This window comes from Homo sapiens, chromosome 2 (assembly GCF_000001405.40).
Source record: "Homo sapiens chromosome 2, GRCh38.p14 Primary Assembly".
NCBI classification, from domain to species: Eukaryota; Metazoa; Chordata; class Mammalia; order Primates; family Hominidae; genus Homo; species Homo sapiens.
In genome coordinates this window covers 168,432,839-168,448,632 of record NC_000002.12, presented here as the reverse complement: position 1 = coordinate 168,448,632, position 15,794 = coordinate 168,432,839, and the positions used below count along the sequence as shown (strand labels likewise).

General features: G+C 40.3%; 1 long non-coding RNA gene across 4 annotated transcripts in view, besides 2 other annotated features; it reads left to right on the top strand.

Annotated features, from left to right (window-relative positions):
* The window catches only part of LOC102724081 (uncharacterized), a 59,691-nt gene that overhangs the window by 33,489 nt on the left and 10,408 nt on the right, over positions 1–15,794 (top strand). The gene's annotated exons all lie outside the window — the stretch shown is intronic.
* Positions 15,604–15,693: an enhancer, noted in NCBI's record as "active region_16732". NCBI's record gives its function as "activates an Ori minimal core promoter by ATAC-STARR-seq in GM12878 lymphoblastoid cells {active_cell/tissue: GM12878}" and the evidence as "EXISTENCE:reporter gene assay evidence [ECO:0000049][PMID:35858748]".
* Positions 15,724–15,783: an enhancer, noted in NCBI's record as "active region_16731". NCBI's record gives its function as "activates an Ori minimal core promoter by ATAC-STARR-seq in GM12878 lymphoblastoid cells {active_cell/tissue: GM12878}" and the evidence as "EXISTENCE:reporter gene assay evidence [ECO:0000049][PMID:35858748]".

Genomic DNA, 15,794 nt, shown 5'->3' with positions numbered 1-15,794 from the left:
GAAACAGAAAAGCAATTATCTGGCCAATTTATGGGAAGAGTAAATAACCTGAAATATTGCTTGAAATTATTGACTTTATATAGAAAAAGAATTTCAGGACTGGAAGGGACCTCATATACCAATGAGTACAATTCATCTTTTGTGATCATCTGAGCTATGACTAAACATCTCTGATGGCAAGAAGCTCACTACCTCACAGAATGACCCATTCTATTTTTCACACCTATGACTATGAGAAAATCTGTTAATAAAGACAATGATCTTGCAAAGCCCAGCAAAATCATCTTAGTTTTCAAATTATAAAATAGGAATAGTATTTTTGTGTTGGATAGATGGATCTAGAATTCAACGACAGGATTCACGTCTGGTATCATCACCTTGAACAAATCACAGCACTATGTATTTGACTAATCACTCCTACATGAAGACATTAGAAATATCTCTGAGTTATACTCCATGTCACCCAGGGAATCCTTGCCTCTGAACAACAACAACAACAAAAGCCTAACTTGCCTGCAGAATTATCAACCATTTGCCTAGTGAGTTCGGATGAATTTTGTGCTATTTTTGGTCAGTTATACTTGAATGTTTTTTGGTTTGGTTTTTTTGTTTTTTGTTGTTGTTGTTGTTGTTGTTGTTTTTTGCAATGATGGAATCTTGGCTCAATGCAATCTCTGCCTCCCAGGTTCAAGCAGTTCTCCTGCCTCAGCCTCCCAAGTAGTTGGGGTTACAAGTGCCTGCCACCATGCCCAGCTAATTTTTGCATTGTTAGTAGAATGGGGTTTCACCATGTTGTCCAGGCTGGTCTCAAACTCCTGACCTCAGGTAATATGCCTGCCTTGGCCTCCCAAAGTGCTGGGATTACAGGTGTGAGCCACTGCTCCCAGTCTTGAAAAATTTTTTAACAGATAGGCATCATAGAAATCATCAATCAGCAGTGTTGATTCAGAGAAAAGTGGAAACTTCTGAAGTTTTAAGATCTTCATGAATTCTACAGAACATGAATGACCTTATAGCATATAGTTTTCTGTATAGAATAAAAAATGTAAAGACAAATAGAGAATAGAAAGGTCATGTCATATGTAGAAGCTGGGTAGTTTTCTAGGTGCACTCATTTGCTGAATTACTTTATGCCAATCAGTAGTTTTAGAGGACAGGCAATTCATATTCATTCCACAGCAAGGTTAGAAGTTACCGTAAGTCATAGACCTATTGGGTTGCTCGGGAAGGATTATAACTGTAACTATCAAATCCTTGGAAGCCAAGAATGTGCCATGTTATTTAAAAGTAGGGATTGCAAACTCAGATGACTTCAGGAGCCAGACAGGAAACAAAATAAATTAAACAGGCCAGGTAAAAGAAAATATTCATGAACTGAAGATTTTACAGGGATTCAAATTCTCGTTTCTTCTTCCTTCTTTTTATCTATTGGCCAGTGTTTGCAAACTTCAGTTACTTCCTTGTGTTCATGGCTAAAGACTATATTCATTTAGGAGGCCACATTTTTAAAGGAACACTTTTTGTTTGAATGGAATTTATCCAATGAATAACAATCACAATGGTGAGGGATATGGAAATCCTGAGGAGATGTTTAGTAACCATGTTAAGAGTACCAACTTTGGAGTTAAAAAGAAAATGTAGGTTTAAGGGCCGGATTTTGCCAGTAGTAATGTATTTTTCCTTATAAAAACTACTCCAGCTCTTGAAACCTAGGGAATCATATTGTTACCACCTGGGCTTAAAGTAAGATTAAATGAGATAATGTAACATGTTTAACATTTAAAAGGAGGAAGTTATTGTTATTATGTATTGTAACAAATTGGTGAACATTTCATTGTTTTAGGAAAAGAAGACCCAGACTTTGTTGAAATAATCTGCCTTTAAGGTAGGCTGAGCCTTTTAAATCTGGGAATGAGTGACTGTTATTTCTGAGATGAATAGAATTAGCTTTTACTGGGCAGAGAAAGTGAGGAACGAAGTAAGGAAGGGAGAGATAAGGGGATGGAGGGAGGTTTCAGAAGCCCATGCATCTACTGTGCGATTCCTCAGGATGTTTTTGCCACAAAGCTACTATAAACATCTTAAACACAAACTGCTTAGATCCAGTGTCATTTTGTGGAAACCTGTAAAGAGACTGGGTTTTGATATTGGCAGTTTATACAAACAAGCAAATTAAGAGAATGTAACCTGAAGAAAATTAGAAAAATTATAGAGCTGGATTTTGAATCTCAGGAGACCAAGAAACTGAATTTGAGCCATGTGTAAGGAATAGGTGGGATCCACAGGGACAGCTGTATTCCAGTTATCCTGGGAACCGTGGAAGAAACTAGAGAATAAAAGATTCTTGGGAGACCTGATATGTGTGTTCCAATATTGTAAGGTCTCTTGGGGGGTGCAATTTTACCTAGTCTCTATAGGTGGAGAGGGCAGACTTTAGGACAATTTGCTGATGTAACTAAAAGGCTAATTTTATCTTCATAGAAGAAATGTGCAAAGCTGGCCAAAAATGAGTCAGCAGCTACATCAACCAGTAAATGTCCTGTCATGTGAAGTGTTGAGGTAGAGGTTTAACTGTTAGACATGTAGGGGAAGAGGTATTCCTTTGTAAAAGTGACTTGGAAATAGACGTCAACTAAGTTCCCTTTAATATTTTGGAGTTAATGTAAAACACCATGGAGGCCGGGCACAGTGGCTCATGCCTGTAGTCCCAGCACTTTGGGAGGCCAAGGCAGGTGGATCACAAGGTCAGGAGATCGAGAGCATCCTGGCTAACACAGTGAAACCCCGTCTCTACTAAAAAATACAAAAAATTAGCCAGGCGTGGTGGCGGGCACCTGTAGTCCCAGCTACTCCGGAGGCTAAGGCAGGAGAATGGCGTGAACCCAGGAGGCGGAGTTTGCAGTGAGCCGAGATCATGCCACTGCACTCCAGTCTGGGCGACAGAGTGAGACTCCGTCTCAAAAAAAAAAAAAAAAAAAAAACACCATGGAAAGGAGGGCAGGAATACCAAACAGAATCTGGAACTCCTTCTGTTGGGAGGAAGACATGTACCCTAATAATTTCCTTTTTCATGTGCCCATGATGTGGAAATTTTAATCTGCATGCTTTTGAAGTTGATCCTGTTCAGCAATTTTATTCTAGGGATGCTTTTCTCATCCTCGGAGACTTTTCATTAACCATCTCAAAAGGGAGGAGATTAAGAGCCTAAAAGAAAAATAAAAGCATGCAAGAAAATACAATAAAAAAGGAGATACAGGAAGCAGTACAAAGAAATACTATTAAACTATTATTGATCTATCATTTGAAGGTAACCAAAATGGATTATTTTAATGAGATTAAAATTATATTTTAAGATTATTTTATACCCTTATGTAATAGCATCATATAATGACTTAATTTGTAAGTTCATATGGGATCTTTGAGTAATTTTAAACAAATTCTTTCAACACACATTTATATCCTTAGAGAATGACTAATGTCCTTGAGTAGGCATCTCTGGAACAAATTTAGATTATTTGAAGGGGGCAAAAATGAGGAACATCTATATCAGAATAAGCACTGCTATGCCACAGAATTGAAAAAAACAAACTTTCTCTGGCTTGATGCATGAAAAGGTTATTTCTCATTCATACTACATGTCCAGTGTAGATCATCAGGGGTCTCATTTTAATCAATCAGAGATTCAGGGTGGCAAAAACTCTATCATCTCAGGATGCACTTTCATGATTACCATTATAGAAACAAGAAGCATGATAAATCATGTACTGGTGCTTAAAGCTTCTACCCATAAGTGACATTGCTTCTCCTGTTCACATTTTATTGGCCAAAGCAATTAACAAGGCCAGGTCTAACTTCAAAGTGGGACATGGATATTCAAAACAGCTACTGAGAAATCTCAATTTAAATGGATTCGTATCTTGGTGCTGTGGCTAACAGAGAACACAGTATAATTTAACAGTTGAAAGCATGGGTTCTCAAGTCAAATGCCTGTGTTTGGAGTAAGGGCCCCTAGTCACTAGTTATGTGACCATTGGTAGGTGAAAATCTCTATGCCTCAATCCCTATTAAAGAGGTTCAAAGAAAACAGCACCTACCCGGTAGAATTGTTGTAAGTTTCAAATAAGATAATGAACGTAAAGCACATAGTGTAACATCTGGTACGTGATCAGTGTTCAGTAAAAAGTGGCTTCAGTCATTTTGATGATGAGAAGGAGGAGGAAAAAGGAAGATGCAGAGGAAGAGGAGGAGGAGTTGTGTTTCACCTACAGATCCTGGGCTGCAGTGCTAGGATGGACTTCAGTCTCAGAATTCATTCATTCATTCAACAAATATTTATGAAGCTCAATGCCAAGAGTTAAACATATAATACTGAGCAAAAGAGACACAGTGCCTGCTGTTTTAGATTGTATAGTCCAACCAAAATTCTATGAAAAGATATGTAGCTGAGGCAGAAGTATCCCCATTTCTAAGATGTCTTCATCAGGGCACTGTCTACTGTTTCATGCTTAAACCATCTTGCCTTACATATGTCTGCCTCTTGCCCTCTGATTGCTTGTATAATCATACCAAAGGCTTACCCTGGCATTCCAGAACCTTTATTGCCTACTGTCTCTACCTAGTGGCAGGTTTGCTTATAAGCCTAGATCCCCATGGTATCACACTTCTTGGCATTGCACACATGGCCTAGCCTCTTGCCCTTTTCTGCCCTGTTCTGCTGCTACCCAAAAATTTCCAGTAACACAAATCTCCAATAACACAAACTGGGCAATGCACTAATACTTTAGGACATCTTCTGTCCTATGTTTCTCCTCTCTTAGAGGGCAGATGAAACAAAGATGAAACGAAAACATGGAGAAAGAAAAGACAAAGCAGGAGGCAGTTACTCTCAGACAGAAGCATGCTCAAAACTTAGAGAAATTTTAAAAGCCAAAGAAATAAGTCACTTTTTTCTTTATCCTACATCAAGTCCTAAAGCATCCAAAAGGCCCTATCATACATTCTTAGCTGCCTACAGGATCTCAGTGGGGGAAAAAAATTAAAGGGTTCAGGCCATATAGTTGTATTGGCAGTACCTGTTACTTGCCAGCTTCCCTTCCTTGCACTTTGAACATTTCTGTGCTATTTTTAATCATGAGAAGTTCAACAGCAGAAATCACTCTGCACAGTCTGAGAACCAGTGATGCTAAATCAAAAGACTATATTCTTCCTTTCCCTCAATGGTTGATAGAGTTCAAGCTCATTCTCGTGTGGATCCAAGAGAGTAGAATCTCAAAGGTAACTTTCCCTTGCAGTAATTGTTCATCATTAATGTTGCCTTCAGAAGTGCATCTTAGGCAAATGTTCATTTCTAAGTCTAAAATAATCATTAGCTGGCAATCATTAACACATATGAAAGTAATCTCTACGTGCTCATATTTGAAAAGCACATATAATTTTTAAAGTCTTCCCCTAAAATTAAAAAATATATTAATCTACATAATAGCCAAACAGATTAGCCCACTTTCATTGTTAAATTAAATTCAATGTAGCATAGATACTTTAATAGGAGAATCATATCGTAAATATGCCAAAGGATTAATTGATCTCATTTAATTGAATCTGAGACCCATAAACTATAATACCTTGTGCTGCCCTAATTGCATGTGATGTTGTAAACGATCAACTCCATGTGATGGATGTGTCTAAGCTGAGATGTATCTATTTGTCTGGCATTTTTATGATCTCTAATTTCACTTAAACTTTAAAATGCCATTAAAATACAGCATAATCAGGATTTGGGGAAAAAAACAAGCTTTCAAAACTCTGCACAGATGTGGGTTATTAGGTTTAGGCACTCTGAATTTACCAGCTATATATTCAGAAGACTTCCCCAGTGATTGCCACAGAATTATTAACAAAATCCAGAGGCCCCGGAGCTTCTTAAATGCTTATGAATGATTTGGCTTAAAAGGTTTTTGCAGTCCTTATTTGCATAGTAAAACTGGCTTCAGCCATAAGTTTAGGGAGAAGTTTTAGAAGCTCTGACATGGCAAGTTACCATGAGAATATTTTCCCTGTGGGGAAACGAAACTCAAATGTGCTAATTAAGGGTGCTTAATATACTTCAAAATTAATTCTTTGTTACCTGCGGTGGTTTAATTATTCCCTTATGGAAAGCTTGGAAATGCCCTGCATCTTTAAGTACCAGTGGGCCACACATTGATACTAAGTCAGCAGCCACTTTGAAAGTATTTCTTCCACTTATTGACTACAGGGCAGTGGCAAAAGAGAAAAGGACTTTAGATGTCACAATAAAACAGTGAGACAAATCTCCACTGGTGGTTTGCAAAATCGGTTTCATTGATCTCATCATACCTCAAATAAAAGAACCTTCCAGAAAAAAAGGTCTTTATAGCAATAAAAATGAAGGGAAGGAAAAAGTTGTAATTAACACCAGGCAATTCTAACTAATCTCCAACCAGCAGGAGCAGCCAGCCAACCCTGACACTTCCCCACAAGCAAGTAGCCTGCCCTGTCCACAGAAGAAAAAATCAAACATTCTCGGAGGATATTGGTTGGACTCAGAGATAATTAAGCATATATGAGAGTATTTATCTTAAGTAAGAGACTTGAGTATTACCCAGGTAACTATTGTTTCTTCTGGAATTCTTGCATCAGGGAGCTCTATATAGTTATGGGACACAATAAAAAGCTCTAAATGTTCAGCTCTAAATGTAGGTACAAGTCATGGGCTCAAACATCACTTCCTCTGGCGGCAAACTCTGACCATATAATCTAAAGTTGCTACCTAATCTATCAAATTACCCCATGTTATTTTCTTCACATAGCTCATGGCCATCTGAAATCTTCTTGTGGGTTTAGTTATTTACTTGTTTGTTCTTGTCTTCCCACCACAGCATGTGGGCTTGGGGACAGCAGGGCCTGTCCTGGTCACTGTTCTACCCCATGCCTTGGGCAGCCCTTGGCAGCTGGGGCTGTTCAGTTAATCATTGTTAAACGAGTGAAATGCAGGGTTATTGGGAGGTTTTTTATGTCAAACTTACTTTTTTCTAACAATCAATAAAGATTTATTCTGGAAGCTGAGCTAGGACAGTGGCTGGATATCCTGTGTAGGCAACACGGGCCTCAGGTATTTAATCAGAATAACTGTGTGTGGACCCAAAGTCACACGTACACAGGCAAACTTTCGCACTAAAACTGGCCATCTTAGGTGAGTTGGGCCAGAATCAGTCAAAGTGTAGTCGAAGTTGAGCATGTGGCAGGATTAGCTAACAACACTTGCAGTGTTACTCATTTTCCTAGGCTGGAATCTTCTCAGCTCAACCCTCATGTGTGCTGTCTCCACACAGAACCTTCTCATTTTTGGTAGATTTAACGAGTGCTCATAGACTACCCCTTAAATGCTTTAAGAAGGACAATTCTACAAAGCTGGGTTTGGTGGTATGCAACTGTAATCCCAGCTACTCAGGAGGCCAAGGCAGGGGGATTAGTTGAGCCCAGGAGTCCTGGGATGTAGGGTGCTATGCTGATCAGGGTGCTATGCTGATCAGGTGTCTGCATTAAGCTTGCTTCCAATATGGTAAACTCCCTGGAATGGGGGACCACCAGGTTGCCAGAGGACGGGTGAACTGGCCCAGGCTGGAAATAGAGCAGGTCAAAACTCCTCTGCTGATATGGTTTGGCTCTGAATTCCCACCAAAATCTCATGTCAAATTGTAATCCCCAGTGTTGGAGGCGGGGCCTGGTGGGAGGTGATTGAATCATAGGGGCAGTTTCTAATGGTTTACCATCATTCCCCTAGTGCTGTCTCATGATAGAGTTCTCATAAAATCTTGTTGTTTAAAACTGTGTAGCACCTTCTCCTGTCTATCTTCCTCCTGTTCCTGCCATGTAAGATATGCTTGCTTCCCCTTCACCTTGCACCATGATTGTAAGTTTCTTGAGGCCCTCCCAGAAGGAGAAAACTGTACAACCTGCAGAACCATGAGCCAATTAACCTCTTTTCTTTATAAATTACCCAGTCTCAGGTATGTCTTTATAGCAGTGCAGGAATGGACTAATACACCGGCTGATCAGCAGTGGGACTGTGCCTGTGAATAGCTACTGCACTACATCCTGGAAAACATAGCAAGACCTGTCTCTTTAATAAAATATTTAAAATTTTTATTACTAAAAAAAGAAAAGAAAATGCTATAGACTGCTTCAGGGAAAGATGGACAGCTCAGTCAGCAGGACCTAAAATGGGCAAGCTTAAGTACTGACACACATATAATTCATGTTAATGCACGCCAGTTTTCCAAACCTGGAGGTGTTTTCCTCTATGGCTGGGACTGAGTAGACAAGTTGAGGATGCTCCATAACTTCCTTATATTCAGAGTGCAGGGAGGTCAAGTGAGGCTGCATTTGTAGGTACCTAGTCAGGCATGAGCAGGGCAAGAGAACGCTCCCCACCACCACCAGGAATGTCAGGCAACTATCAGGTGATGGTCAGGTGGCTGTTACACTGTTTCTCTAAAATAATAATTGGTTGCAGCCAGTGCCAGGGAAAGGCAATCTCCTAATAGATAGAAAAAACCCGAAACTGGTGATCAGCAGCTTCCCAATAAGATCTCCGGAGTTGGGCCAGAGAGCTCAAGCATGCCGATTAAGAGGCAAAATGGTAGAGTTTAACTGGCATTTGACCTTCTAGGGACATTTGGCTGGTAGGGGAAGAACACCTCAAGTGAGGATGTGTACAACTCCAGCACTGCACATGCTCCTCTCCCAAGTGCTAGCAAGCCACTGCACACGCGGATAGCCCACCTCAAGGAAAGAATCACAGGAAAAGGAATGCAAGACCCCGGAAACATGCCAACATATAAAACCTCAAGTCAAAAGTCAAACTGCACACTTGATCTCTCCAGTCACCAGCTTGGCTGTCTTCCAAATGTACTTCCTTTCATTCCTGCTCTAATTTTTTAAATAAACTTTCACTCCTGCTCTAAAACTTGCCTTGTTCTCTCCTTCTGCCTTACACCCCTCAGTTAAATTCTTTCTTCTGAGGAGGCAAGAATAGAGGTTGCTGCAGACCTGTACAGATTTGCTGCTGATAACATACTTTAATTCTTTGAGGCTCCTGGTATATTAAAATAAATAATAACAAAATGGCTCTACAGAATTACAAGCTGGCCATTTTAGAAACTTCCTAATTAACATTCACACACACAAACACAATGCAATATAATTGTGCCATCATCAGACAATTATGAAATCTATTTAAAACACATGAATTATAGAGCACAATGGGTAGTATAGACTAGCACATACACTTCAGGCTGATAAGGAATGTCTTCTCCCTCTAGAGCTGTCAGTGACTCTCGGGAGTTCTAGGACCCATTCCATTTTGACCTACATTGGTAGGGTCAAATGTCTACACCTGAGGCACGTGGTACGCTTAGGAAGTCTAGGCCAAATGCCCTGTGCAGGTGTCTACCCTGGCCCCTGGGCCGACCTGCCTCCTAATGTACAGAAGTCATAGTTGCACTCCAGTTACTCTCTTCTTCCAAACAATGTCAAAGTGTTTCTTCTACAGGCTTGGTGAACAGTTTGCATAGGTTTGCATGTAGGTATTACCTCTTAACTTACTTAAACATGAGGATATGGTTTTCTATGCCTTCTATAACCCCCCTAATTCAGCAGTCAACCAGTAACTGTTTTGACCGGTGGACTAACTTTTAAGCTGCACACCAGAGCTACTCAGCGCCTGAGGGTAAGCATGGCAGCCCACATGGAATTAGACAGTTTATAGGCTGTTGTCAGTTTGAAAAGAGAAATTTTCACTGAGGTAGAAAGCCTGCTTTATTTTCTCGCAATATCTGATTCCACCTACTCTAATCTAGTCGGCAGCACAGACAGAGGCGTCTGCTCAGGCTTTACAAGGTTAGCCAAGGTAGAGATTATATGGGCATTGCAGCGATTACTTTTCTGGACTCCAGACCATTCTCACAAAGGCTACTTAACAAGGATGAGTCTCTTCATAGATCTCAGTGAAGAAGACCTCTACAGTATCAAAAAAGAATAACAAATCATTTGGAAAAATGTCATGTCTTAGGCTTTCCATAAAGAGAAATTATTTCAATTGTATAAAGCTAAAAATACAAAGATAAGCAAATGTAATTGAAGAGGCCAGGAAAAGGCTATAACTGTGAAATAACCCTTCTCCGCGCCCTTCCCTCTCCCCGGTCACTTTCAGGACTGTAGTGGATTTGCTCTTCTCCCACATACTTTCTCCCCTCTTGGAAACCTTTGCCTTCCCTGAGAATGGCTGCCAGTGGTCACCATCTGGCCTCTGGTTGAGAATGTAAGCACAGATCTCAGCCTTTTTCCCCACCGTTGGAGTATACCTAAGTAACGTGAGAGCCACATGAAAGCCAATGCCACTAAAAATCCAACCCAAGGAAACAAAATAGAGCACTGGAGGTGAAAGATGAGTCTGGCCCTCCCTTTGGGGTGCCCCAACCAGCTTGGAAGTATGCAAGGTGGATCCAAAAATCCTGTCCACTAGAGGGGTTACAGGAGCTACGTGGTATTGAAAACACCTAGATAATTCTGCCACTCCTCTGCACAAAAGCCTCTGAATGGCTCTCCCTGTCCACAGGACAAATCCAAACTCCTTTTGGACAAGCGGGGCCCACCACAACTGGCTTCCCTTCTCTCTTTCCTGATCCATCTTTTGAGGCTCTCACCCAAACCACCTAACTTTCTATCCATCTCCTGACAATTCAACCTTCTTCTCTCCATACCATGCATTTTAACAGACCATTTGTCTTCTTTTTTCTTAATATGATTTCTCCGTTTAGAATGTCTTTCCCTTTTTTCTTTTCTACCTATCAAAATTGTATTTATAAGTTATTTCCATTGCAAAAACCACATTCTAGAATTTCCCCTAGATCACATCAGGGTTAGAAGTAATCCCTCCCTACTTGGTGATCCCAGAGAACCCTAAGAGCCCTCCCTACCATGCATGTTGTCTTCTCTATTGAACCGCTGGCTTCCTCAAGCAGGAACAGGATCTTATTCCATTTCTATCATCCCAGGTCCTAGTGTGGATTTGTGCACACAGTGAGTGTTTAATAAAGTTTGGACTAATTGGATTTCTTAGGAAAACAACAGCTAACAGCTAATTTGAAGCTGGAGACAGTTGATATAAACTATAGAAGAGTTCAGGAGTCTATTAATAAATAGGGTCTATTAATAAATTGGGTCTATTAATAAATCCCAACTTCACGTCTTACAAGCTGTGTGGACTTGGACAACTCTCAACTGTCAACATCTTTAAACCTGAGTTTCCTTATCTGAAAAAAACGGCATCTTTTCATACACATGCCTAACGGTATCTACCTCATCTAGCTGTTGAAACTAGATGAAAGCATTTAGCACTGTGTTCAGCACTTAGAAAGAATTCAATGCATGTTACTTCTCTCCTCCTGCACCTTCTCCTTCTCCCTTTTCCCCTCCTCCTTCTCCTCCTCCTCATTATTACTATCACTACTATTACTAGTAGTATCCTAATCCCATGAGGGAAAGGCCAGCTGTGGAATGTAGAGTCTTCTGCTACCTCCCCCACAGCTGGGCTCCCATATTTGAGCTACATCTTAGCAAGAATTTTTCTTCTTGCAAAGAGTTCTGAAGCTGTGGCCTTGTTATCTCACTAAAGTAGAAAGAAGCCTGGGAAAACTTTTTTTTCACAGCTTTGAGCAGTGTACAAAAAGAGAATTTGTTTTTGAGTTAACTCCTCTTTTGTTTAGGGAAAACTACCTCACTGTTCTTTGAGACATCCAAATGAAAAGGAAACGTGCACCCATTGTTTTGGCAGCAAAGTGAGGTCACCTATAACCAGAAGACCCGTGTTTAACCCTGGAAGTCAGAGGTTATGTTTGGTACATAAGTTCTTGTGTTATGAGCTGAGCTTTCCCTGTAGACTTTGTTGCAGTTTTTTGGTGGAAAGGAAAAACATAAGTCTTCCTAACCCTTGTAGAAGTAAGTTTGGACACCCAGGCTGAATTATGGCCTGTCCTAGATAGCATAAGGATAGGATGGGGTGGATTCATTTGCGTTTTTTTTTTTTTTTTTTGAAACAGAGTCTTGCTCTGTCGCCCAGGCTGGAGTGCAGTGGCATGATCTCAGCTCACTGAAAGCTCCGCCTCCCGGGTTCACGCCATTCTCCTGCCTCAGCCTCCTGAGTACCTGGGACTACAGGCACCCGCCACCATGCCTGGCTAGTTTTTTGTATTTTTATTAGAGACAGGGTTTCACCGTGTTAGCCAGGATGGTCTCGATCTTCCAACCTCATGATCTGCCCACTTCGGCCTCCCAAAGTGCTGGGATTACAGGCGTGAGCCGCCGCATCCGGCAGCTGCTTTTTTTTTTTTTTTTTTTTTTTTTTTTAAAAAAAAGACAGAAATTAGCATCAGTGAAAGGAAATGAGAATGACGTGGAAATGAAATGGAAGGATCAGCTTCCATGGACCCTGTCATTCTCTGGGAAAGGCAATGCTACTTCTCTGCCTAGGTGACAAGACAAAGTGTGGTTTAGAGTTGGTATGTGTGTCTTTGTTCCTATCTTTGTGCAAAACCAGTTCTCCTCTGGCTCCCCCAGCTGCTCCTGTAGCGAGAAGACCCAGCTCCCTTGTCACTGATGATCTCAGAAGTCCCACCATTGGCAGAGGAAACAAAGTCAGGGTATCTGTCTCGCAAAGGACAGATAGGTTTGTAGGCACATAAGACACACCTCTTTAGGAGCTATAGAAATAGTGAGAAAGAAATTTTAGGGAAAACAGTAAGATCAAGGACTTGAATTATTAGAGGTTTCAGCTCTTGTAATTTGGACATTAAAATAATCGTGATCTTGTATTACCACCCCCACTCCAGGTTTATGAAGTCTGTGGCATACTTTCTATAATAGAAACTGAAATCTATTATTTTAAATTTATCATTTCTTTAAAAATTTAAAGCTGGAAAGAATTTGGGGTGGGATATAGTATAACACTGATTTTTTTTTAAAGCATGGATTCTGGAAACCAGTAGATTCCTATCTTGGCTTTTCTTTTTACCAGTTGCATAATCACAAGCAATTTATTTATACTCTTTAAGCCTCTGGTGTTTCATCTATAAAACACAAGTGTGTGGCAGTTTATATTTTCCAAAAGACAGCTGCACCAATATATATTTCGTGCCACATGCTAGTCTCATGAACTGATGTTGATATTCCTTCATCAAGAGATGGGGTCTGTATTCCTTTCCCTTGAATCTGGGCTGAACTTTGAAACTGGCTCAATAAAAGGATGTGGCAGAAGTGATGACTTCCAGCCAGGGCTTCTGCGTGGTACTTTCTCTCTCTCTCTCTCTCTCACACACACACACACACACTCACACACATTTGCCATTGAAACCCAGTCACTATGGTGTGAGGAAGCCCAGGCCACATGGAGAGGCCACATGTGGGTGTTCCAACTGATATCCCCACCTAGACCCATAGCTGATAGCCAGCGTCAACCACCAGACGTGAGTGAATGAGCCTTCAGAACTTTGCAGTCTTCAAGTTCTCCAGCTGAGCCAGACCTCATGGGGCAGAGATAAATTATACTTCTTATGTTTCATCTGAATTCCTGACTCACAGAAGCCGTAAGAGCTAATAAAGTAATAAATAAATTTATATTTAGTAAATAATTTAATAAATTAAACCATATCTAATGCATGGTGGTATTATGAGGATTGAACAAATAGTATATGTAAGTGCTCAGTAATGTTAGATATTATTATTATTATAAAGGCAGCTACTAAAGGTAAAACTTGGAGGTGAATGGGGGCTGTCAATATATACCCTTTTCTGGCTCTCTTAACAGATAACTGGGGAAAAGAGAAGTTGAAATGGAAGAGAAACCAAGTTAGTAGATAGTTGCCTGTGGGGTTTGTGCTTGAATCAACAGTCATGTGTAGACTTTGTTTTCACTCCTTTAGAAAAGGTCATCTTAAAGCTCCTGTAACCAGAACCTCAGGATAGAAGAGAGAATATATTTGTTTGGGGCCACTATCATGTCTGGGGGCCTCACAACTCTTAGCCCACCATCCGGTGGCATGCACCAGTCTTTAACAGAAGCTCACTTCTGTATGAAATTATAATGATCTCTCCAGTCAGTTACCCTCCAAGTAACCTATCGTGCTGATCTAATATTAGTTTCCTGGAATATTTCAGTAAGATATCAGCATGCCATAAAGCCCTTCTGTAAATCCATATGGCTTTAATGGGAACTTGGCCAAATGCCAGGGAACTTGGCCATATGCCAAGCTTGTCTTGTGTCACTTGGTAATTGCCACTCTGTCATCCTCAGAGTTTGGTCTAGTTTCCAGAGCCATCCATAATTTTGATGTGGATACATGTGGACCATTGAATATTTTGGGGAGGTTCACAGTGATTAAGGATTTCAATCAGAAAAGGAAAGATAATGGTCCATTTTTACTTCTAACCTTTTATTTCCACATGCAAAAAAAAAGGTTATCAAATGTTAGAAAGTCACTTATGGAACAAGGACAATGAAAATCAATTGGGAAGTATAGTTTTTTTCCTCTGCTTATGAATATGTACTGTGTAGAATCTGGGATTCATTCAGATTATAAGCCATTATTTTATAAGCAGTGATGTGAAAGGAGAGGAAAGGCTTTGGTGGTGGTGTCTCTGGCATGGTAGCTAAGGAAATGACTTTTAGGTTAGATGTCATTTTAACATCCCTTAAATCATCCTTTAACCTTGCTGACGTTCACATCCTAGTAAAATTAGATACCGCTTATTAAGTGCTTTTTCTTGTTCTAGGCACTGTACTAATTTATCATAAGAGTTGAGATGTCATCCAAAGCCTGCCTTGCCCACTACACAGCATTGCCTCTCTGCTGCTGGCTGAGATCCCTTCTCCACTCTGTGTGTCTAGAGGCTGCCACCATTCAATGCTTAGCTCCAGTGTCACCTCCTCTCAGATGGCTTTCTGTCCACCATGCCTCTCTGTGTCTGCCCTACCACATATACAGGACATACTCCCCCACTCCTCTCTAAACTTCTATAACAATGCTGCCTAATAGAAATAATGTGAGCCAAAGATGCAATTTTGAATTTCTAGTAGCCACGCAAAAAAAGTAAAATGAAACAGGTGAAATTAATTTTAATATATGCTTATTACTTAACCCAACATATCCAAAATATTATCACATTAACATGTAATCAGTATTTTAAAATTGAGATGCTTTGCATTTTTTTCAGTAAATCTTTGAAATCCAATGTGTATTTTACAATTAATGGTGCATCTCAATTCAGACCTCATTTCAAATGCTCAATAACCAATTAACTGGCAATTATTCTATTGGATGGAGCAGTTCTATAGCATTCAGCACGTGTTATTTCCATCTTATTTTATGTACGTTTCTCAAGAAATGGGGGAACTCTTCTATGTATTTCCCAACATTGCTAGAGTACTATGCCTAATAAATGCCTGAGTCAGTGTGAAAGTCAAGAAAACAAGTTATTGTGCCATGCTGAATTTCTAGAAGAGAAGTATCTCTACCACATCAAGGCACAGGTAGTTCTCACAAAACGAAAAGCATTTTTGCACAGCAGAGCCCGGGAAGCTGCAAGTTGCTCTGTGGGCTGAAAAACATCCTTGAGGTCAAAGTTATGAAACTGACAAGGACAAAAAAGAAAGACTGCACTGGGGGCTGTGAAAACAAGGAGACAGAGACAAAGCACCCGGCCACTTTCTTGGTTAGCAT